The 26,518-nt window shown below is 34.3% G+C and overlaps 2 long non-coding RNA genes across 4 annotated transcripts in view; one reads left to right on the top strand and one right to left on the bottom strand.

The window, feature by feature from the left end:
* LOC105376084 (uncharacterized) overlaps positions 1-26,192 on the bottom strand; it is a 52,939-nt gene extending 26,747 nt beyond the window's left edge. For 2 of the 3 annotated variants that reach the window (XR_007061581.1, XR_929941.2), the window contains exons 1-4: positions 26,104-26,192; positions 12,080-12,219; positions 8,663-8,782; positions 1,972-2,036 (exon numbers count right to left, since the gene is read on the bottom strand). This is a non-coding gene — a long non-coding RNA (uncharacterized LOC105376084). The remainder of the gene's footprint in view (positions 1-1,971; positions 2,037-8,662; positions 8,783-12,079; positions 12,220-26,103) is intronic. The other variant, XR_929939.1, reaches the window with a different exon arrangement.
* Positions 6,906-26,186, top strand: LOC105376083 (uncharacterized). Its single transcript, XR_001746729.1, has 7 exons — positions 6,906-7,561; positions 11,142-11,201; positions 13,649-13,795; positions 14,592-14,722; positions 22,097-22,154; positions 24,460-24,512; positions 26,134-26,186. It is a non-coding gene; the product is annotated as an uncharacterized LOC105376083 (long non-coding RNA).
* Positions 26,193-26,518: the final 326 nt, after the last annotated feature.

Genomic DNA, 26,518 nt, shown 5'->3' with positions numbered 1-26,518 from the left:
TGATTCATTTAAAGAATGGCTGTTTTTAAAATCTTTTTAAAGGATCTTAGAAATTTTGTTGGAGGCCACTTAGTTTTTGGTTTATACCTATCTTTCTACACTTTATGATTTCTTCTTTTTACATAGGTATGTTTCTACTTTAAATCCTACATAGTTCTACTTTGATATTTTTATGATTCTCAAGTAAGAAATGAGAAGACTGAATGGCAGAGAAGCTTAATAACCTAATCCTAAGATCACACAGCTTGTGGATGTTTAACTCAGGCAGCATGGATTCAAAGTTTGTATCTCTAACCAATACTGCCTCTCCATTCTAATGTTTCTCATATTTTTTTACTGTGAAAAAAAAAATACATTTGACCATATTCACCCTAAGATAACTGCACTTTCAACCCTTTCATTTAATTGGAAAAAAAACCCTCTATACTCTCATTTAAGATTTGGAATATATACCAACTCAGTAAAATGTAGAGGCCCTTTTTAATACTTCATTATTTTCTATTCCAACCCTTCTGCTCTATTTGCCATACTAAATATTGTTTTCTAATTAGTATTTTTTCTTTCTTGACACCTTTGAGCTGGTTTTGTCCTCTTTCTACCCCTCTGTGAATATGCCTTCTGTTTTTGTTGTTGTTGTTGTATTATACCTCATAAAATATAAGTATTTGATCAAGCTAAATGCTCGTTTTTTTAAATTTTCTCTTTACACTAAGTTTAAGTATGAGTTCCTAGCTTGGAAGAAAAGAAATCCCATCTTGAAAGGCTCTAGATGGCTGTTTACTCATCATTTAGTGAGTTCTGTGACTGGTCTATGTCTATGTCTGAGAGCCAGGGTGAATGAAACCAGAGTGATCCGTGGCATCTAGAAATAGATAGGCTCCCCTTCATAGTGAAAAGAATGCAAATTTCACCAACTCTTAACTGCCAAAGAATACAGTGTCTTCAGTCCATTGAAAGGAATCTCGCAGTACTCTAGGCAATTTGTGCATTCAGTAAATCATCAACAGGTCTGATTAAAGTCTTGGCTATTGTAAGCTTGGTTCTCTTGAAGACTAAGCTCTTGGCAGCCAAGGACTGGTAATTATTCTATCCTGAGCCTTTATTTATTAGGCTGATGCAAAAGTTATTGCAGTTTTTCTCATTAAAAGTAATGGCAAAAATTAGGCCTGGCGCAGTGGCTCACACCTGTAATCCCAGCATTTTGGGAGGCCAAGGCAGGCGGATCACGAGGTCAAGAGGTCGAGATCATCCTGGCCAACATGGTGAAGCTCTGTTTTTACTAAAAATACAAAAATTAACTGGGCGTGGTGGCCGGCGCCTGTAGTCCCAGCTACTTGGGAGGCTGAGGCAAGAGAATCGCTTGAACCGAGGAGGCAGAGGTTGCAGTGAGCCGAGATGGTGCCACTGTACTCCAGCCTAGCAACAGAGTGAGACTCCGTCTAAAAAAAAAAAAAAAAAGTAATGGCAAAAATTTATCTCGGTACATAAAAGGATTCTGGATGTGGCAAATGCTAACAAAAATTATTTCCTTCCAAATTAAATACTTTAGTCTATGCCAGAAGGTCATAGGTATATCTGAGAGGAGGATACTTTTCAAGGTACATGTCACTTCGTCCCTGTGAAGAAGAAAGCTGCAGAAAAGTCTGTTATTGAATGTTTACATTCTAATTCTAGCTCTCAACCAATCCAATGGGTAAATGGGAAACTAAGCACTTCCTTTATGCCTAGCATTGTTTATTTACATTTCTTATTTGTAAAACCAGAGACTCTGCAAGTTATAGGATCAACTATGAAGTTGTATGCATAATACATTTTATTAAAAGATATGCATATATTACATATACATAAAAACATAAGTTTTACATATGAAATATGTAGAATATATAAAAGATAAAGGATAATTTTAGAATGGCTAAAATGTATCATGAGAAAAAAATATATTTTATGTGTATAAAGATTATACAAACATACCTATGAACTGGTTTCAATAAAAGCATCCACATGTGTGTAGGAATGTATATAAGGAGAATAAATTTCTAGAAGGAAAGAAAAGTTGTTATAAATAAAAACAAAGTCCAATGAAATAATCTTTGAAGTAATAAAAATGGAAAAATAGACAACAATGTATATGGCCAGATACATAAGAGCACTACCAAAGGTAGGAAGGCTATTAGTGCATAACTATGTCATAAATAAAAATGAAGTTTTAGTACAGAAGTGCAGCTTAATTCAAATTTTGAAAGCAAAGGGCATCATTAAATTCCATTAGCACTCGGAAACAATTGTATTGCTGCATCCCTTTTAATCTGAATGTGCACTCTTCCAATTATTTATTATTTTTATTTTTAGAAAAAGGAAGGTTTTTAGAGTTTAAGTTTAATCATGGAAATTTTAGTATTAGCTTTTCCCATATAGTTAAACAAAAAGGTACATATATTAACAACCTATCAAGAACTATTTTTACTATGCCTCTTTGAACAGAACACTTCTCACATGCAAAAGTTTTAGTAGATACCATTTTGCTCTATATTTCTTTCTTTTTAAAATTTATGAGTAAGAAATACATTTATATGGTTCAAAATTCACAGTGATATGGAAAGGTAAACACAAAACGGCAAGTTCACAACTTTTCTAGAACTCAAAGTTGGAGTGCTGAAGCAATAGCACAGACATTTGGTCTAAACATCTAAGAAAAATCTAGAGCCTGCAGGGAAACACATGGCACAAGCAGGGGCTTTACTAGGGCAAAATACAGCTGGAAAACAAGAAGGGTTCAGCCAGGGCTATAGCAAATTTATGGATGGTGAATGTGTACCCTGGCAAGAGAAAGCAAAGTCCCTGGGGACCCAAACCTGGGGAGTCTGCCAACTGAGGATGATTGGAAAATTTTGGTAGACTCCTAGGAATTTTCTTTGTGTCGCAAAACTGGCAGAAAAAACAGAAGCCATTATGGGGAAGGGGCCATCTCAAATCTCATCTGAGACATTTCTTCTCTATCTTCCCTAACCAAGCTGAAATCTTAACCTATTAGAAGAATGTCAGCATACATTGGGGCTCTTAGAGCACTGGTGAAAACTCACTGCAGCCAGGGGAAGAAAACTGGAGAAACAAAATCTCAACTCTGGAAAGGGTTAACATAAATATGTACTGGACTCAGAATTGCTGTGCAACCTACATCATTGGCAAAAAGGAAAATAATGCCTAATACACAGACTTAATTAGAACAATAGCAACCCATAGCAACCCTACTCCTTCCCACCAAACACACACAACTCTCTCTTTCTTTTTTCTCTCTCTCTTTTTTCTCTCTCTCTTTCTCTCTCTCTCTCCTCTCTCTCTCTCTCTTCTCTCTCTCTCTCTTCCCAAAATAAGAAGCATCAAGTGGGGCCAGCAGGTGGATCACCTGAGGTCAGGAGTTCGAGACCAGCCTGGCCAACATGTTGAAACCCTGTCCCTCTCTACTAAAAATACAAAAAATTAGCCATGTATGGTGGTGGGCACCTGAAATCTCAGCTACTCGGGAGGCTGAGGCAGAAGAGTCGCTTGAACTTGGGAGGAAGTTGTAGTGAGCCAAGATCGTGCCATTGCACTCCAGCCTGGGCAACAAGAGCAAAACTCCATCTCAAGGAAGAAGAAGAAGGAGAAGGAGAAGAAGAAGGAGAGGGAGAGGGAGAGGGAGAGGGGGAGGAGGAGGAGGAAGAAAAGCAGAAGCAGCATCAGGTAATAAGTAATTTGCAAAATACAAATCCTCCCTGAGGCCAAGCAAAGAGGGAAGACCAAAAGACAAGGAAGGAGCAGATATGAAAATAAAAAGCCTAGTGAAGGATCTGGATTTAAAAAAAAAAAAAGCAAAGTAAATAAATAAAATGCCTTCTGAGAACCCCTACCCTAAACATAAAGTATCACTAGAATTTTGAAGCTGTAGGACACCAAAGTTAACTAAAGCAACAACAAACCCCAAACCAGGTTTAACAGATTAATTTTTCTCAATCCCCACACACTAGGGTCTTAGCAGGAAGAAAGGCATGCCCATTCCCAGGCATATAAACTATTTACTTCACTCTCTCATGTTCTATACAAGATGTTCACCTTTTAAGAATACATTAGGAAGCATTAAAAAAAGTCAAGAAAAATAAGACAGTACTAAGAAACTGAGCAATTATCAGAACTAAACTCAGTTATGACAGCGTTGAGACTATATGAGAGGGATCTGAAACTACTATAATTAATATGTTAAAGGCTCTAAAGGAAAAAATAAACAACATGCATGACAGGTAGTTACATTTAATAAAGATACAGAAATTATAGGAAAAATATAGAAACACTAAAAATACAAAACACAGTGACAGAGAGGAAGAATGACTTCAAAGGACTTAGTGGTGAGCTAGACAGAGTCAAGGAAAGACTCCATATACTTGAAAATAGGCCTACAGAAATCACTGGAAATCACACTGAAGTGAGTGGAGAAGAGTTAACCTAAATAACTCTGGAAAACTGTGTTTCGCCTGGTAATGTAAGACTTGAGAAAGACACAAAGAGCCATACAGAAACACTGTAGTCTAGCTGGTAAATTTGTTTCACATATATGTGGGACAGATATTCTCAAACTGCTTTATATGTATACTAGACTTGAACAAATATATAAATAAATTGTAGATAATGAGAGTCAGATCTCTCACTGTTGAAGAAAAAAGGGAGGCATGTTAAAACAAAACAAGGGCTAGATTTAAGAAGAGCTCACAATGACCAAAACTAAAACAATTTGAGCATCAAAATAAATAGTGTAACCCAAAGAATAAAATTAATATCTGTGAGTCTGAGGACCTCAGGTTTCAGCTTCAACATGTGACGTGGTTGAAAGTCATTACTATAGACAAAAGCTAATCAAACTGAAAACTGGGGACTTCTCTTGGTCTGTCAGAGAACTGAGGTCTCAGGGCAAACTGCGTTCCCAAAATCTGGAGTCAGGCACATTCAGAGATATGAAGCACCTGAGACCTGTTTACCTGGAGCAGAAATAGCCAGTCAATCATCACTTAGCTAGTAAGGATGAAGAATTGCTGGTGCTGCCTATGAACTGCAGAGGGAAAGAAGCTCCTAAAGGCAGCCATCAAATGCCGTCCCTACATTCTCACAAGCTTTTCCTAAAGGAACACCACCAACATTATATTGGAGGATCTGAAAAAGCTCCTGCATGGCCCTGATAGGGGGAAGGGATGAGTAGCTATCAGGAAGACTTCCAGACCCTTCTCTCTAACACAGACTAATTTCCAGGATGAAGGGCATCACTAGGGGGCAATTCTGAAACTTCAGCCCAGTTTAGTGAAAGGAAATCCACTACACCTATAGTCTGCTTCTGTCTTTCTGTCTCACCTAAGCCGAAAAAAGTCATAATCAATCAACAAGAAAGAGGGCTTCAAGGAACTATGTGGTCATTTTCCTTTATCCGCAATTTTGCTTTCTGATTTTCAGTTACCTGCGGACAACTGCACTAAACTGCAGTTCAAAAATATTAAACAAAAAATTCCAGAAATAAACAATTCGTAAGTTAAATTGCAAGTCATTCTGAGTAGCGTAATGAAATCTTTACTGTTCCACTAGTTCCTGCTCAATACATGATCATCCCTTTAACCAGCATACCCACGCTGTGTAGGTTATCGGCCCGTTAGTCACTTAGTAGTAGCCATCTCAGTTATCAGATGGACTGTCATGGTATTGCAGTGTTTATATCCAAGTAACCCTTATTTTACTTCATGATGGCCCCCTCACGCAATAATGATGCTGACGTATTGTTATAATTGTTCTAGTTTATTATTGTTATTAATATCTTACTATAATTAATATATGAATTAAATTTTATCATAGATATGTATATATAGCAAAGCACATAGTATATATAGGATTTGGTATTACCTATGGTTTCAGGAATCTAATGGGGGTCTTGGAATATACCCCTTTTGGATAAGGTGGTGAGGAGGGGGACTACCGTACTGGAAACACTAGTGCTGGAGAAGGACTAGAAAACAAGAAGGGCAAAAGCTCTATCCCTGGAGGAGAAGCAGAAACACTACATTAACCAGATTCCCAAGACATATGACCATTAAAACACTGAGATTTATTCAGAAGATTCCAGCAGACTCCCTCTCCTCCACAACCCATCATAGCTCTAACAAGCTTTCAGGAATAATAGCAGTGGATTACAACTTAAAGAGCTACAAGACACAGGCTCTCTCTAAAGAGCAGTACAAAGGGAAACAAAGCCAAGTATGGAGAAAAAAAACTAAGCTTACTACAATAATTGGAAGCCTCTGGTGTCTGTAGCTAAAATAAACATTAAATGCACTCCAACTCCTAGCTAGATTAACATAAATCCTCATACTAAAGGCCTATTTACTTCAGTAACTATTTCCCTATACAACATATCTGATTTCAACAAAATTTACAAGGTATGTCAAAAGACAAGAATAAGCGTCTGAAGAAACAAAGCGAGCATCAGAATCCAACTCAGATATTAAAAAGATATTGGAATTATCTAATAGGAAATTTAAAATAACTGTGATTACAATGGTAAAGGCTCTCCTGGAAAAAGTAGACAACATGCAAGACCAGATGAAATGTTGGTAGAGAGATGGAAACTATAGGAATCAAAAGGAAATGCTAGAAGTGAAAAAACATAGTGTCAGAAATAAAGACCACCTTTGATGAGTTAATCCATAGACTGAGGCTGAGGGGAGAATCTGTAAATTTCAGCATAGGTAAATAGAAATATTTGAAATGAAATACAAAGAAGAAAAAAAGGAGGAGGAGATAATAGAATAGAATAGAATAGAATAGAATAGAATAGAATAGAATAGAATAGAATAGAATAGAATAGAATAGAATAGAATAGACTGTAACAGAACAGACAAGAACTGTGGAGTTATATCAAAAGTTGCAACATGTATATAATTGGAATATCAAAAAGAGAAGAAGAAGAAAATGGAGCAGAAGAAACATTTGCAGAAATAATGACTGAGAAGTTCTCAAATTAAGAACAGATATCAAGCCACAGAACCAGGAAGCTTAGACAATATCAGCAGAATAAACACCAAAGACTCCACACGGAGACACACCACATTCAAACTGCAAAAAACAAAAATAAAGAAAAAAAAATTTAATGAATCTAGGATTGGAGAACACTTTCCATACTGAGGTAAAAGAATACAAATTACCAGAGACTTCTCATGAAAAATAATGCAAACAAGAAGAGAATGAAATGAAATCATTAAAATGCTCAAAGAAAAAGACTACAACCATGAGTTCTATATCCATTTAAATTATTATTTCTTCAAAAAGAAGAAATAAAAACTTTCTTAGACAAACAAAAACTAAAAATTCCCACCCAGTGGACTTGCTCTGCAAGACATGTTAAAAGAAGGTCTTTAGGCGGAAGGAAAATCATGTGTAGATCAGATGCTTGAATCTACATAAAGAATCTATGGCCATACCACCCTGAACGTGCCCAATCTCGTCTGAATCTACATAAAGAAAAAAGAAAGCATCAGAGAAGTAGTTCATGAAGGTAATGTAAATTCTTTTATTTTCCTTATTCTTAATTGATCTAAAAAAACCTACTGATTGGAGCAGTAATAGTAACACTTTAGATGTAAAATACATAGCAGCAATGCCACAAGAGAAAGAATTGGGTAGTAGGTTAAAAGACACTTGTGCTACACATAAAGCACTATATTATTATTTGAAAATGTGCTTCGGTAATTTTCTTTTTTAAATAGAGACAGAGTCTCTCTATGTTGCTCAAGCTAGCTTTGAACTCCTGGGCTCAAGCAATCCTCCTGCCTTGGCCTCCCAAAGTGTTGGGATTACAGGCAGGAGACATCAGGCCTGGCCTGCTTGGTTAATTTTTAAATGGATATTAGAAAAACCACTTTTAGTAACTTAATCAGAAGGAAGAGGAAGAAAGAGGAAGAGGAGGAAGAAGAGGAGGAGGAGCAGGAGGAAAAAAGACAGGAAGAAGAAGCAGAAGCAGGAGAAGAGGAAAAAGAAGGAGACAAGGAGGAAGAGGAAGAGCAAGAGGGAAGGAGAAGGGGAAGGAAAGAAGGAAAAAAGAAGAGGAGGTAAAGATGAAGAAGAAATGATATTACCAGAGAAGATCTAAAATAAAATCTTATAAAATAACCATTCATCCATACTGATATAAACAAGTGATTTTATAAACAAATTAAACATTGAGAAAGATTTTTCCTAACAAAATAATTTAAATTAATAAATTTAGAATGAGTGAGGGAATAGGAAAATCACCATTAGAATACAGTGGTAATAATTGCTGTAGTCAAAATCCACTGGTGAATGCCAAAATTGGTTGACAAAGTATAAGAGGAAACAGAGTTTTACACAGTTTTTTTCTCAAATTATATTCATTAAAATACTTAGTATTTACAAAGGAAAAATAGTAACTTCACAATGGACAACCTGCAGTTAGTACCTTAACTTAGTGTTTAAGATTAATATCCCTAGAAATAAGACCCATCGTCATGTGCCCCTAATATGATGCCCTAAGATGCCCTAAGAAGGGCACACCATCTTGGGATATTTTTCCCCAAAATGCATACCCTTAAGCTTGATTGTGAGAAAATATAGGACAAATCCAAACTGCAGTACATACCTGACAAGCACCTTCCAAAGTGTTGTAGTCCTTGTATCAGGGAGAAAATGAGTAACTGTCACAGACTGGAGAGACTAAGAAGTCATAACAAGTAAGTGCAAGGAAATACTTGATTGAATTCTAAAACAGAAAACAAACATTATTGGAAAAACTGGTGCAGTATCAATAAAATCTGCAGTTTAATTAATAGTATTTGCCCATATTAATTTTTTAGTTACGTAAGATGTTAAGACTAGTGGAAACTTGATGAAAGATACATAGGATTCTGTATACTACTGTTGCAAAAATAACAATAATAAAAAATTATTTTTGAAAAGTACACCCTGAAATTTTATCTTAGCTTCATTTCCATCACATCTATTCTCCCATCATTCTGCATGTTTATTAGCTTTATGTTTATCCTTTCAGTGTTTCTTTATGCAAATACAAAAATGTGAATATGTACTTTATCTCCTTCCTTACATGTCAGAAGCATACTCATTATCCTAGCCTCTCCTGCACACTGATCGGTTCACTCAAAATATACCCCAGCAAATTTTCTATTGAGGTCGCATCATTTATTCTCACAATTGCATAGAATTCTACTGTGTAGATATACCATAGTTTATTCAAACAGTCCTCTATATTTGCACTCTTAAGTGCTTCTAATCCTTAATAAAAAGAGTATTCTGTGAATAATTTTGTATACTATATATAAGTTATTGCATTCATGGGCAAGTGTTTCTGTAGGATAGATTTCCAGAATTAACACTGGTAGGTCAAAGAGAAAATATAGCTATATTTATGGTTGCTTTTTCCACCTTCTCTTTCACAGTGAAGGGATCATTTTTTGTTCCCTCCAGTAATATAATAGAGTCTCTATTTACTCATGGTCTCACTTTGGGGCTCTTAAAGCTTCCAAAGTGCTTTCATGACATGTGTTATTTTACTAATTTTCTAATAGCATCATGATGGTTATCATTATTTCCATGACTAAAGGAATTGAGTCCTGAAGAGTCTGTGTCTTCCTCAAATAAATAACTAACATCATTAAAAGATGGATCCATTTAGAGTCTGTCTCGCCCTTGTGGAACTGAGTGAACCAGGCCATTGCTTTAAATTTTAAGTAATGAAATTCAGTCTCAGTTAGCTCTAGGATGGTATACAAATATGGGCTACAAATTTGGTGAAGGAAAATGATGTAGTGTTCTGTGGCCTTCCATTCATCTTGGTAACTACAGACATCCTCGTGGTTCATGCTAGTACAGCTCTTTGAAAACAGGCTCCCAAGATGAACTCCGAGGAAAGAACTCTGTGCAGACCGAAAGCCTGAGTTCCAAACTCCCTAAGTGCACTATGTAGCTGATCTTCTCTGTGTTTGGAAATATTTTCCGTGTATTGCCCAGGACAGTGGTCTGGACTCTTTATTTGTGCAGGGCTCACAGCCCTTTGTTCCTTTCCAGTCTTAGAAAATACCATTAGCTCCCTTGCTACTTTGGTCTCCAACTTATAATTCTCTCCCTCCATTGCCCATTCCCCCGACCCGCAAAAGACTCTTATTGACACAGGTTTTAAAAAATAAAGACAGGAATACCAGGAAGGGAAGAAGTCTTTAAGAGACACTACAAAGCAATCCAGCTACCTATACAGTTACACATGAAGTGTAGAGAAAGTAGAAAAGGAAAATACAGTTAGAGGGAAAAAAACACATATAAATATTTTATTAAACTACCCTGCCATGTAGTTTTTAAAGAATCAAACTGTTTATTTCAAGTATTACACAAGACCCCTAAATAGGCATCAAACTTGGTCACTTTTGTGGTTCATAAACTATCAAGATAGAGAATATTGTATTTATCAGGACATCTCTAAAAATGGGTTCTTTCTGTGATTGGAAAGAATATTTTAATAAGCTACACTTTGGTAGGAAGGTGGAAGGCAATGATTAAGACCTCATATACCATTGTATAGTAACAAAAAACTATCCTTCAAAGTATAGATGCAGTTACCTATGGGAAATATGTTTTATTAGGGGTCAAAGTAGAGATTTTCTTTAGCCTGACTAAATATTGATCAATGACACTTCAGAATGCAAGGTAAAAATCAAACTTAAGAAATATTTATAAACTGTTTTCTAGGAACTTAAGTCAAATTTAAAGTCTCCTTTTCTCTCAGGACTTTACTAAAATTTCATTTAACATTTTAGGCATTAAGTGTTGCAATTTAATTTTTTTCCAAATACATTTTAAATCATTAAAATGAGTTAAGCTATATCTGTAAATACTTGGATGAAATTGCTGTAATTATCTAATAGCATTAAAAGTAACAATTTCAGGCTGTTTTTCCCCATTTGTATTTAAGTATTGAAAACAAGAAAATATTCATAATCAGTTTCATAAATGCTGAAATAGAGCTATTAGATTTTCTGATAGGAAATACAGATTCTCAAGGTCCTTCTTTATGTTTCCTCGTTCTCCCTGTTTTGTTTGTTTTTCTCCAGGTTGTGTTTTTTAATAGTTGGAGGAGCGGAGAGAACAGGCGTAGTGGAGAGAGTAAAGAAGTGTGTATGAAGGGGGAGACTTCATTGTACAGAATGGTCATTAACTGTGATGCAAACGCCAATGTTTCCATGGAAACCTCTGTCCACTACAGAATATACTAGAGCAATTTTTGAACCATTTGTCCATTTGATTAATTATGTCTTTGTGCTGAAGGCAGCTTGGCTTGATTGTCTCATCATGTATTAGAGAAGCTACTGCTCTAACAAATGGGCCTATTGTTTTGGGTCTATTCATCTTGGTGCATCCCTGCGAGCTGATAGACATTTCAACAAAATGACTGTCCCTTAATGAGCTGCAGCCTGTCAGAATTGTTTAGGGCTTCATGCGAAGCAGAGTCCATGGTCATGACAGCCTCAGTTATTATGACAATGAGTAGGATGTCTATAAAAGAGTCCATGTAAATACAATGACCCTCATTTTGATATCACAGTTACTTTTTAATTATCAAACCTATGTATATTATGTTCCTAAAACACTCCTTATTTTTGTTCCAACATAAACTATAGAGTTTTTTGACAAACAGAACATGCCTACCAAATCAAAAGAGTAAAACATTTTTCATAATTTGGTATGATTGTTCTTGGTTTCCAGTTATCTGAAAAATATTATTAATGCAATTATGGGGACTGGCTAATAGAAGTGAAACCAACATTTTTTAAATATCTTGATGATATTAATGGTGAGTTTTTTAACACTTTAAAGTGGATACAAGCTAATTTTACTTGAACAAACATTCCTCAAAAAGGCAAAAACAAATCAAACATAATATTGGGGACACCCATAATATTTACAAAAAAATATATTTTTAGTAAATGGGACAAATACAACATTATTCTAGCACTCTCAGCCCATATGAGGTGGTAGGATAATAACCTACTGTGGTTTGAGAGTATGCACCTGTTGATTTGTTCTGAAGACTTGGGACTGTTGTTATCCCGAAACCCAAGTATCTTTCACAGGAACTGGTATTCAACATCCATGTGTTTTCCTGTCCACAATAAATTGTAATAATTGTGCCTGAAAAGAGAGAATATATTGGCAATTTTGATTTCATGTTTCCTCAAAGCAAGAGCAAGTTCTTCTTCTGAACAGATGAATGCACTTTCTAAGAAGGATGCTGTGCCAGTCACAGCCAAAGTCAACGTGCCTGAAACATCCCTTTTGCCAAAAGTTAATTATGACACTTAAGAAGAGCTTCCTATATGTTTTTAAATTGTATATTTCAGTTTTGCTTCTCTAGCTCTTCTGTGCAGAGAGCAGACATGGAGAATCACTGTATATGGTATGTGTTTTAACTATGTCTCCACACAGATTCAATGATTAAGTTGTGTCTTTAAAAATCACAGATGGAAATCACCACTCTGCAGCTACCAACAGCCACACTTAATCAGTTAGTAACTGGGGATTAAACTTAATTCAGATTAATTTGTATTAGTACAGTGTTTGTAAATCAATTGCTTTCATATTAATTTACATGTTGTCTAGACATGACATCATGTTGATTCTTTGTGTGGTTCAACTACTAATTATAGACTTTAAGGGTAACAGATGCAAACTTTTGTTTAAAGCTCTGAAAATAAATCAAGGCTGGAGTGGTGGTCCAGTTTGTTTTAGGTTAGGAAATTTTTAAAGCTTGGTACAAAACTACATATTAGAGTTAAAGTCTAAAATAAAAATGACTTAACACGTTTAAAAGGGAAATGGCTTCTGATAAAGATAAAGGCAGATTTAGTAGCCAGTGAGAGAAATTCTAGAAAAAGAGGAAAATTGTTAAAAATCTAACCAAAGTCCCCAAAACTCAATCCATAAATAAGACACTGAAACACTATGAAAATGATTCTTACTTACAGATTTTAGTTTGCATTTTTATCTGTTCCATTCAATGTCTAAACTTTACATAATGGAGTAACTGCTCTGTGGAAAGCATTTATTTAATTCTAACAATTCATTTGTTTCTAATAACTTTTAGACTTCTCAAAGTTCAATGGTTTTCATATCCAGAATACAGTAAGAAATTGTGGTAAAAACTAAAATAAAAAAATAAAATAAATAACATTCTTTTTTTTTTTTAATTATCACTCTTCATGGTCCAAAGACAAAGTTAGTGCCTTTATGTTCAGTTGGGAAAGCAGCATCTAAATCTGTTCATTTGCTAGTTCATAAACTTTCCTTAAAAACTAGAAGCTACAAAGCAGACCCAATTCTTAAATCTTAGTTTTCCTTATTTGGCTTATATTTGAATTTTAGGATGGACAAAAATCCAGCAGAATTAGTCATTTCTTTAACTTTCAAATTTGCCTTATTTGTTTTAGGAAATGAGCCTTCTCATTATCAGAATTTATGTCACAGAAACCTGGTTACTTTAAATCAATGTCAGTTATATATTACACATTTCATAACCTTGTTGTTATTTACCAGGATATCCATTTTCTCCCTTCAAAAATAGTATTCCTTATGTGCACATGAGAAAGTCACCACAGAAAAGAAAGCAACCTGATGCTGTCAGAGTGACTCACGTATCCTCTATTCTTGGAAGGAGGAGAAAAGATGGAAGGCCAATGCAATACTTTGTTACATGGATCTTATGTTACATGTTAAGTATGAAATTGTTTCCACTTGGCTAAGTAATTCTATTGCTTTCTGATATGAAAGAACTGCTTCTACCATTAAAATGCTGAAAATTCTAATCATAAAGCTATTTCTGAATTTTAATAAGCATTAATAAGATAAGCGTTATTCTGCTTATGTATCTGCACACCACTGATGATACCAACTGTCACCTTTGCCCCTGAAAAAAATCTTAATTTGGAAGGCCTTTCATGAAGTTTCATTTTCAAAATAGCTCTTCTTAAAAATTTGGAAATCATTTCAATCTTAAAACTTAAAGTTGCAAATGTAGTGCAAGGGAATTTCCAAACCCTTCCCGAAGATTTCACTAAGATTTCTTAAATGTTAACATTTTACATTTAAAATGCTCTCTCTCTCTGTCTCTCTCTCTCTCCATGTATAAATGTGTTTGTATCATTCAAAATAGCTCTTTAATAAGGGGATTTTTTAAGACTCCAAGGGGACTTCAGTTAACAAGTAATCATTTAGCTATTACTTTGAACATTATCTAACACAAACATATGTTTTTACTTGCCTTGGATAATTGATATAACTATAATTTTGTTCTCTAGCTTGGGCTTTCACTAAGTTAACTGGCATATAAATTTCATTGAAGATTTATAATATTATTTGTAAATATATCCAAATCATACTAAAGATCTAAGTTGCTGTCAGGATGCAAATGTACAATAAAAGGAAATAGACATTTCAGAAATAGCAGAACAGTTTTGTTTAAAACCCTCTTTACATGTTAACAGCAAAAACTTGTTTTATTTACACAGTATGTCTGTGGCCCAGCATGCTTATGTGAAAGAAAGAATACCAGTCTCATTTTTCAGGTATACAACTTCAAGAGAACACCATGGCTTTAGTCAAAAGGAAAGAAGCTGCGTCATGTTGTCGGTGTTTGAAGGTATGGCATAACAGATTTCTTTGAAATGAAAGGGTAGGAAGCAGCAAAATTTAACCCTCCATTTCAACATTTCTTAAAGCTCTATTTTTATAACCTTTCATTATTCTCACCAGCATCTAGAAAGTTATGGAAAGATAATCCATAACAGATAAATTTTATAGCTGATCATAAACAGGGTTGGATTCTAAAAGTTGCTCAGATTCCAGAAGACATACAACTTTTTCTTATGCTTCTCATTAAATGACTTTTCCATTTCTAAGAATTTGGCCCCTGACATGTATCTGTGAAATTCCCTCAGATGCCATCTCCCCTGCCTCCTCCCCTCCCTCTACCAGTCACTCCTAGTTGGCTACCCTTAGGCCAGAGAACTCACCTTGAGGCTTGACTGTGGCCCTATCATAAACAGCAACAGTGGAGGGGTCTAAGTAATCTCTGATTATAACTTCAAAACATTATAATGCTATATATCCTGTCTCAAATAGAGTTAAATATGCTAAACAGATGCAGATAAACAAAACAGATGCAGATAATTGAAAACTCTGAAGTGTCACATCTTGTATTTACTCTCACACCGTGTTCTCATGAACTCTGTGGAAACAAGACCAATAAAATAACAATAAAGGGTTCAATGTGGGGCCAATGTTAGATTCCTTAAGATTTCCATGTAGACAATCGTGTCATCTGCACAGAGTCAATTGAATTTCTTTCTTTTTGGTTTTCATTCCTTTTATTTTCATTTCTTGCCTTATTGCATTTGTTAGAACTTCTAGCTCTATGTCAGATAAGAGTGATGACAGCACAAATCCTTCTTTCTACCCAATCTTAGCAGAAAGATGTTTTGTCTGTCATTATTAAGTATAATGATAGTTGAATTATTTTTTAGATCAACTGAGAAATGTTTTCCTTTATTTCTACTTTTCTGAGAGCTTTTATCATGAATGGGTATTGAATTTTGTCATTTTTTTTCCTAGATCGAATGGATGATCATGTGATTTTTCTTCTTTAGCCTATGAATATGGTGATTAGCATTGATTTTCAAATATTAAATTAAGTTTGCATCCTAGAAATAAACCACATTTGGTCATGACATAATTTTTTTTGTGTTGCTTAAGTCTATTTGTTAATATTTTCTAAAGGCTTTTGTGTCTATATTCATGAAAGCTATTGATCTTTAGTTTTGTTTTTTGTTGATATTGTTGTTCTTGGTGGTGGTAGTGCTCTCCTTGTCTAGTTTACTATCAGGTTATGACTATCTTCATAGAATCAATAGGAGAATGTTTCCTCCTCTTCTGTTTTCTAGAAGAGATTGTGTAGAATTGAATTGGCATTAACTGTTTCTTAAACGTGCGGTAAACTTTTCCAAGTTAAACCATCTGGGTCTTGAGATTTCTTTTCTGGGAGTTGCTAAGTGATACATTCAATTTTCTTAATAGCTATTAGGCTATTCAATTTATCTGATACACATATTGGGTGAGTTGTAGTAGTTTGTTATTTGAGGAACCGGTCCATTTTGCATAAGTTGTCATATTTATGTCGATAGAGTTCTTTGTAGTATGTTCTGATTATTCTGCAGGACCCATAGTAATATCTCACTTTGTTTCTGATATTATAATTTGTGTCATCTCTCTTTTCTTCTTTGTCAGTGTTGCTAAAGATTTCTCAATTTTACTGGACTTCACAAAGAACCAGCTCTTAGATTCATTGATTATTGTTTTTCTATTTTCAATTTAATTGATTTCTTCCCTTATCTTTGTTATTTCCTTCTTTGTTTTCATCATATCTATTTTGTTCTTCCTTTTCTAGATTCTTGAAGTGGCTACTTAGATTATTGTAATGAGACTTTTGTTCTTTTCTAATGTAGGTATTTAGTGTTACAAATTTCCCTCTCATTGTTGCTTTAGCTATGACCCACAAAATTTGATATATTTTTTATTCAATTTAATGTACTTTTATTTACTTAAGATTTTCTTTTTTGATATATGGATTATTTAGAAATATGTGCTTTAATTTTTAAGAGTTTGAAAATTTTTTTTTATTTTTCTGTTACTGATTATTATTTTAATTTCATTGTGGTTAGATAACACTGCATAATTTCAAATTTTAAAAATCTGTTGATTTTATGATCCAAGATATTATTTATCTTGGTATATGTTTTTTGAGTACTTAAAAACAATGTGTTTTTTGGTGCCGTTGGGTGGAATGTTGTATAAATATCAATTAGATGTTGTTAATTAATGGTGTCATTGAGTTCTTCTAAACCATCGCTGATTTTCTTGTTAGTTATAGATGAGAAAGTGGTGTTGAAGTCTGAAACTACAATGTGGATTTGTTTATTTTTTTATTTCAGTTGTCTCAATTTGCAGCTCTGTTGCTCAGTGCTGCAATCAGAACTGCTATTCCTTCTAGGTGATGTGGATTGACTTAGCATTAAATAATCTCTCTCTCTCTCTCTCTCTCTCTGTCTCTTTCTTCTCTCTCTCCCTCTCTGGTAATTTTCTTTGCCCTGTAGTCTACTTTATCTGATGGTATTATAGCCACTACTACTTTTCTTTGATAAATGTTTGCATGGCATATCATTTTCTTATCATTTTATTTTCAATTAGCCTATACATTTTCAGCCTTGCTCTCTTTCTCTTCTTTTTCTGAGACTCCAGTGATATGAAAGTTAAAGTCCCATAGGTTCCTAAGGTTGCATTCCTCCCCCTACCATTGTATCTTTTCTCTGATGTTCAGATTGAATAATTTCTATTATACTATTTTTCAGTTTACTCATCCTTTCCATTGTCCACTCTATTCTGTTGTGAATATTCTGTCCACTCTATTCTAGCAGGGAAAAGGGGGAACAGAAACATTGACCCGTTATTGACAAAAAGTGGTAGAAATCTAGCTTCTATTGACACCCAAAGGTAAGGAAAGTTCACCTTTATTGCCAGGAATATTGGAAGCTCCTGGTCCTCATGTGGTCTCCACTGACATGGTGGCAAGAGTGGCCTCATTACAACTGGGCAGTAGTAAATGTTATGACTCTCCACTAGGTTGCCTTTGACACCATTCTAGTGGGGAAAGGGGAAAGCCTCCTTGTTTCTATCTAGCAGGGATGAAATTCCCACTCCTACTTGGCCTTCTCCTACATAAACCCAGTGGAGACATTGAATTCCCTCATTACAACCTTACAAGAGTGAAGTCTAAATTCTTCACTCGGCCTTGGCTAGTGTGGTAGGGGTGGGGTGACATTTTTCTTCTATGATATTTGGCTAGACTAGAGTAGTGATTGTCTAAAAGTTTTTTGTTCTGCCTGGTTACCCCTTTCATTTTACTTTGGCTAGAGAGAGCAGGCTTTTGTCTATGTTCATTGGTATTTCTGTGTTGCCAGTTTCTTTAGCTTCAAGTCTCAGATATAGGAGACAAAATAAAAACCCAGAGTAGTTATCACTGTTACTTCTGTTTCCCAGGTCTCTGGACAGTCTGCCTTCTTCTCTATATCTTTCATAGTCTTCTGATGCTTGTTTTACATAAAATGTCCTGGTTTGTAGTTGTACGTAATAGAAAGAGTTAAGTACATCTACTCTATTTACCTAGAAATGGAAGCCTCTAGGGTCACATTTTAAAGGATAGTAGCCTAAAAACATAATTTGTTGAATTTTTAAATATTCTAAACAGATAAATTCATTAATTTAAGCTAGATTTAGAAGTCTCTTGAATCCCAGTCAACAGCCAGGTCTTAAATAGTAGACTATGTTTATTAGACATTTAATTATAGGAAATAGAATATCTAAATTCTCTGTGTTAGTCAAATAATTCCAAATCTCAGAGGCTTAGAACAGTAAACTTCTGTCTCTCTTAGTAGATGGTCTTCAAGTCAGCTACAATTCCACTTAAGGCTGTGTGTCAGACTTGGGTTTTCTGATTGAGAGTGTAGGCCCACTCCACATGTTTTCTCATTGTGGAGCAAAGGCTAAAGGGGCAGCCTCTCTCAGTATATGCCATTCTTCACAGTAATAGTCAAAATAGAAACTGGCAGATATGTGCAGTGGTTAGTAAAGCTTTTCCGCAGAACTGGTGCACTATCCCTTTTGCTCATATTTTATTGACCAGGCAAAGTCACATAGCCAAGCCCAAAGTCAGTTGGGTGTAGGGATATACTTATTTTATGGAAAGCAGACAAATTGCATAGTAAAGGGTATATAGATGTATAATCTTCCTTCAGAAGAGAGAGAATAAATGTGAAATCTTTACATAATGATTAGAATGTTACAATAATCATAAAATTCTCAAACTAGATTAATTGGGAAGAAACTGAATTTAATTTAGTAAACATTGTATTAAAATATGTTTTCTGTTAAAGATGCAAAACTCATCCAAGTAATGGCTCTATGATCCATTGTATCATTTTTCACACATGCTATGAAAGATTAGAATAACTAGTAATTAACTTAAAATGATGTGTCAAGTAGGTCACTTGAAACTTACATTAGTTATCAGCTTAATTTTTTAATATAAATATCATAAAAGTTATCTTCAGGCCAGTTCTTTTCAGCCTACTAATATTTTCCTTTGCATTCCTAAATCTCCATTAAAATGTAGGTACATCTATAGAGACAGAGATATCCCTAAAGATATCTATATATCCCATTGTTTCATGAAATTTTATATTAAGGCCAGACACAGAATAATTCATAGAATGATAGCAAGGGAAAAAAAGGATTTTTAGGCAGCTGGAGTGAGAAGAAAAATTAGAAAGAAAATGTTCTCTACTGGGAACTATTTTAAGTAAAGAATCTGGGGCAAAATTTTACATAGCTTCTTCTTTCTAAATGAGAGAATTGATTCTTATCCCCGCAAATTCATTAGTGAGCTCACGTGAGTTCCACATAAAGGATCCAGCATAAAGAAAGTCATACGGTGTAGTCAGATATAAATTAGTGTGTGTTGTTTACCTTTGTTTAGTTACACATCTTGCAATTTGCTGATAATTGCATGTGGATTATACTAGTTAGCTACCCTGCTACTCAACCAACTCAAGTAAGTAGAACAAAATATTACTGAATATTTTCTTTAAAAGCAGTGTATACAATAACTGAAAAGAAACATGGAGGTAATCAGATCTCATTGTTCTTCATAAGAGACTGACTGCCATCTCTGACATCTTGTCTGAAAACCTCCAGTGATGGAGAAATACTATTGATTACTTTTTGGCACTTTTGGCTGCAAGAAAGAACTTCCTCACATTGACTTGAGATTTGCCTTTCTCTAATTTCTACCTAATGGTAATAATAACATTTTTTTCTAACTTCCACCTAACCATAGCAACAAAGACACCCAGCAGGTAATCATAAGTTGGCATATGGTAGGCCTGCAGAAAGAATTCACTAATATAATGTATTTTTAACAAATCTAATAGAGATGATAAGATAAATGACAAATAGCTAAAATGTGAGTTGATATATTGTAACAAATATCAAAAGTGTTAAGGGGTTCCAAGTAGGAAAGATTACATACTATTGGGGGAGGAGAATACATGGGAAAGAGGAAGTAAATCTATTTAAAGGTGGATCTAACATAGGCTTTAAAGCCTAGGTAGAATTCTAGCAGGTAAATATGAGAGACAAATAAGAAGCAGCAAGGTCGTAAGTGAAAGATACTAAAATGAATGTAATTACAAGAGAGGGAGATGAGACTCAAAAGTGAGACTAAGTGCATGCATACGTCAGTTCAGGCTGCCATAATAAAATCACACAGATAGGGTGGCTTAAACAACAGAAATGTATTTGCTCACAATTCTGGAGGCTAGAAGTCTGAAAGTCCAAGCTCAAGGTGCTAGTAGTCTTGGTAATTATGAGGCCTTTCTCCTCGACTTGCAGACAGTACCTTCTTGCTCTGCCCACCCAAGACTTTCTCGATGCACAAGTGTTCAGAAAAAGCTTCTTCATGTCTCTTCCTCTTCTTTTGAGAACACCAGTTTTAAGGGATTAGGGCCCAATCCTTACAGCCTCATTTAACCTTAATTACCTCTTTTAAGGCTCTGTCTCCCAAAACAGTCACATGGTGGGTAACGGCTTCAACATGTGAATTCTCGGGGACTCTGGGAAAGGGTGGGTGTGATACAATTCAGTTCACAGTAGTCTTCAAAGTAGAAAAAGTTCAATGCAGGCGTCATAGCCTGTTAAGATTAAAATGTAATGCTTATACCAACATCTATGAAGCTTCATTTAAGACCAAGCAATAAATAAATCCCAAAGAAATATTCATTTGTGATGGAATGTAAATAAGCCACTATTATTTAAACTCAAGCACTCACCCCAATCGAAACATTTGGTATAATATGATTTTTCCCAATGTAAATATGAACTTTAGTTCTACCTGTCTGCACAAAGTCAGAGTCGCTGTAAAATACTTAAAGCTAAATAAATCACGTGAACTAGACATATGTTTTTATAATTACCATAAAAATGCTGGTATAAATTAAAAGAAGAAATCATAGAATTTCTGCTTTGTTTGCTGAATATAATTTTAGGTTGTTTCTTTTGCCGCTTTATGAATTATTAAAAGCTTTTGTCATTTCATTCATTTTGGCTAGAAAAGAATTAGATATGATTTATGGATATTTAAAGTAAGACAACATGAAGGGGAAAGCATAAAATCCAATCTCATTAATTTACAACTTAAAAATTCTGCTGCCAAAAGGGGAAAAATATTTTGGGATTTCTCTCTCATAATTTCCTATATTGCCTACATAATCTGAATTCATTGCATAATTGAGTATTCTCTGTCTTTAGTTACTAATGTCAACTCAGTGCTTATGCTTCTTAATCCGTATTTAATTCAGTATATGTTCCTATTACAACTGACAGGCTATTAAGACATTTTTTGTTAGTCTTTCCTATCAACATTTATAAAAGAAAATGGAAAGTAATTCATACTAGGTTAAAATCTTCTTAAAAATGTTTCTATAATTTGTAAGCTCATACTGAATGTTGAGGTGTAGCAAAAGACATTTTGTTACGTGCGATAATAATGCATCTGATTTCTGAGTAAAACACATTCAAATATATTTATTATATCAGCAATGATGCAGAAGATTCATTTGACTCTCAGGTTAAGGGACAATATAACGTGCACTAACCTTGATTTATTGCTCTTGGTTGGCTTCTAAAAGTCAATACTACATTGAGTTGCAAGGAAGTCTCATTTGAATGAAAACGGATAAAAAGTTTATTGTGAAAATATATAGTTGTAGTGCCTTATAATCTTCCAAATAATAAACAAGAATATTTAGTGAGAAGGCATGTATTAAAAATCTAGGAGAGAATTTTTTTTTAAAGTAAGCCATCTCTTTATGTTCTCTGTTTTTATACCTTTAATTTGTTTGCATAGGAAGAAAAGGCTGAAGATAATTCTTTATCAGGTGGAACAGAACCTCTTATATGAAAACGTAAGTATGTCTAGGCTGAACTATTTTGGAAAAGTGAGGGGAATTTGCCTAGAGACCTGGGAAATAGTCTTTTCGTTTTGTTTTGTTTTCTAGCCATGACATGAAAGGTGGAGGACTACTCATGGGGAGGAAACAGGAGGCTGAGAAAGAGAATGGGGAAATGTTGACATACCAAGGAATTGAAGAAAGGGTGGAAGGGATCAGGCACAGTTTTTTCATATAGTCTTTATATCTAGTAGCCTCATTTTATTGTAATTTTTCCACTTTTCTCTTTTTTATCCCAAACTTGCAAATGAGAACACTGAAGTTCAGAAAGGATAAGTGATTTTACTAAGGTCATGTAGCTGCAATGTGGTAGAGCTGTGTTTTTGACTACATCTTTGCAGCCAATATTTAATTGAACATGACAGTTAACACATGATATAAAATATTTATTTTCATGAAAAAGATACTTCTATCATGAAATATTTAAGTTTTGAAATATATTGCTTACTTTACACTATGATTTTACAATTTCTAATTTTAATTGAATATAAGCATAGATTCCTAGTACATCATAGCTCACAAAATTGGAATACCCACTGACCCTTACAATAATCCTGAAGAGAGGACATCTATTAACATGAGGACCAAATGTTACCTTATAGATTTTATGTAATTTGTCCATGATGATACTGCAAGTATCTGAAATAGTCAAATTTAAATACTATTTTCAGACTCAAACAACAAAAGTTTTTCTACTATACTGTTGCATATCTTCACTGAACAATCTAGTATATTTTAATATGGTCTTTTGACATTTAAATTCTGACAAAAATCTAATGCTCCCACATACGGAATTATTCTATATTTTATTGTAAGTATTATTCTATATTTTATTTTAAATCTTCCTAAATTTTGTGTTCCTAAGATAATTTGAAAATGCATGTTTGGAGTCTTTTGAGGATAACCTGGTTAGTTGTTGATAGTAGCTACAGTAGCATTGTAGCTTTTGTAGATCTTCCACACTCCCTCTTAGCATGACCATTTAATAAATAATTCAAATTTTTCCTAATGCAGCATTTTAGGGTATATTGGTGCAATAAATAGCCTAGGAAATAGTATGCATTCAAATAAAACAAATATATATAGTCATGCACCACATTTACAACAGTGACCCTATAAGAATATAACGGGGCTGAAAAATACCTATTGCCTGGTGATGTCACAGCCATTATAGCTGTCACAGTTGTCCTAATGCATTATTGTCTACACTATTCAGAACAGTAACATGCTGTACAGGTTTGTAGCCTGGGAGCAATAGGCTATGCCACATAGCTTAGGTGTGCAGTAGGCTATACCATCCAGGTTTGTATAAGTACATTCCATGATGTTCACAAAACAATAAAATCACCTAATGACACATTTCTTAGAATGTATCCCCATCGTTAAGGAATACCTGATTGTATTACCATACATTTATATTGCTTGTGAATTTCACTTATCTATGGAAGCTCATGAAAAACAGAAAAATAAAAATAATTATTTAAATTGACCTATCAAATTATAACATGTGTATGTACAATGTGTAATATTTGGTGCATCATTTTATATATATTTTGGTTCATAAATATATCATAACTATATTTGGCACATAATTTATTATTTTAAATATGTATATCTACCCAAAACAATATATACTATTTTAAATTAAGAATTCAGGATAATTTTTCTAGAGCTTTGTGATTACAGTCTGACCTCTCTATCTGGGTTCTGCGTCTGTGGATTCAACCAATTCTGGACCAAAAATGTTGAAAAAAAAAGCTTCTACATTGACATATATAGTCTTTATTTTTGTCATTCTGCCTTAAACAGTGCAGTACAACACCAATTTACATAGCATTTACATTGTACTAAGTATTATAAATAATCTAGAGATGATCTAAAGTATATGGAGGGTGTCCATAGATTACATGTAAATACTGTGCCATTTTATATCAGGGATTTGAGGATCTGCAGATTTTGAGATCCACAGGAGGTCCTGGGACTAATCTTCCATGGATACTAAGGGACAACTGTACTACAATTTTTGCCATATGTGCAGAATTCAGAAACTAATATCCTTGAAGATGTTCCCCCGTTAAGTGACATAATTAATAGTCTTCAAAATGAAAATAAACAAATAAAGGCCGAAATGGAAAGACAGAAATCAGATTTGAAAAAAACCGTAGTTTCTTTGGTAGGATAAGATCTAAGAGTTAATGGAGGGTGTCTTTCTCGAAAAGAATCCAAAAATTATACATTTTCTAATTCTCGATTTGGACAGTCTCTGTTCCCATCATTCAAAGACTACCAGGAACACATCTGTGATCAACAAAGGTAAGTTATTGCTTCTTACAGCAAAAACAAAAAACAAATCACAAAAAAACACAGCATGAGAGATCATGGGATGCATCAAAAGGGGTAGGATAAAACTGAAGAAAAGTTGCTTACAGAGTTTTGGGTGCTGGAGTCATTGGATGATTCTGGAGAAATGGGTCAGATTGTGTAAACCAGTGTATTGCTGGAACTGTCAGAGGTCCTTACCTTTAAAATTTATGAGACCATGTGGAACCACTGTTAATCAGTTTGTGTGTGGTCTTATCAAAACCACATGGATCTAAACAAACCACTGGTGCTAAAATCATGAGTTTAGAAATGTCTGTGATAAACATAATGATTTTTTTTTCTGATACCATTTATCTCTGTGATTCAGTAAGTGTGGTTTCTGTTTCAATTCTCAATTATTCTTTCACAACCTCTCTGCCAACAAATTTTCCCTTTATCAACACTAGCAAAAGTATAACTGAGGTTAAGTCATTTAAATTTCCTTGAGCCAAAGTTTCTGTTTGTAAAATTAAAATTTTTGGAATTGATGTTCAAAAAGCTCCTTATTCATCTAAGATTAAAATACTGAATCCCAGAAATTAACCTTTAATTATCCACCTTCAATCATACATGAAGGATGAATTTTGCATCAACAAAGCTTTAAACATCATTATTTCATTTCAAATTCCACATTACATAAATGGTATGAATGTGATTTTTAAGTAGAAACAGTAGAAAATGCCAAATTCTTATTTTCCTAATACTCAATACAAATAAAAAATAAATTGCAATATAAAATCGTAGGAGATTTCGAACAGAATGTATTTGAAATTAAACACACTTATTAAATTAGAAATAATGGTAATGATGGAACTGCTAACTCAAATGAGCATTCATAACCCCTGTTAGATATCAAAAGAATAGAGGCCAATACAAATGAAATAGAAAGCACATTGACACATTGTTTTACAAGTTGTCTTAGTAGGTTCTAGGCTGCCATACTAAAATAACATAGACTAGGTGACTTAAACATCAAGAGATTTATCTTCTCACAGTTCTGAAGGCCAGTAAGTTCAAGATAAAAATTCTAGTAGGGTTTGGTTTCTGGGGAGGACTCTCTTCCTTGATTGCAGATGGATCACTTTCTTACTGTGTCCTCACACTGCCTAAAGAAAGCTCTTGGATATCTTCCTCTTCTTTAAGGGTACCAGCCCTATTGGATTAGAGTCCAACCCTTATAAATGCATTTAGCCTTTATTACATCCTTAAGGACCTATTTCCAAGTATGGTCACATTAGGGGTTAGGGTTTGAGCATGTGAAGTTTGGAGAGGGGATACAATTTAGTCCACAGCACTAGTAAACCCAAAATAAATAGCCTACCTTCAACAAAACATTATATCTTCCCTTAAAACACTGAGAAAATAAATGCTTTATTCCTTTTTCTCATGAAAAAAAATAAATCTACATAAAATGGAAGGAATTCCATTGTCTTTTTACTGGCAACCTTTCCTTTTCTATTGAAAAGAGTTCCCTTATAAGAAAGAGTGAGAAATTCCTTGAACTGGACTGGTAAAATCTGCCTCTTCTCTGTGTCATTCTCACCTCTGACCTCTTCAGAGATTATCTTGGTAGGATGCCTGCTGATGTTGGCTTTGAGTGACGTGACCTTCAACGCTTCCTTAAACATGGACATGAAAAGGATCAGCTTCCAGCAGATTAAGTGAAGTCAAGAAAACTACCAAGAAAAAAAAATAATAAAGGCAGTTTAACTTTGAAAGCAATTTTACTCAATATTTCTAATTTGCCTTTAAGACTTGTAAGAGCCTAGCTTAAATAAACAGATTTCTAGATCATTTCCTATCAATTAGCTAATACTTGGCCTGAAACAGTCTCCTGGCTTTTGTCGTATTTTAAATAATGTAAAGACTATATTAGAGGTATGACCAACTTAATCTCCAAAACTTTATTTTATTTATTTTATTCAGTATTGTTACATTTATTTTCAATGAGCTTTTTT

The sequence above is a fragment of the Homo sapiens genome, chromosome 9 (genome assembly GCF_000001405.40).
Source record: "Homo sapiens chromosome 9, GRCh38.p14 Primary Assembly".
NCBI lineage: Eukaryota > Metazoa > Chordata > Mammalia > Primates > Hominidae > Homo > Homo sapiens.
The sequence above is the reverse complement of the archived record's forward strand: the minus strand, read 5'-3'. Positions and strand labels throughout refer to the sequence as shown.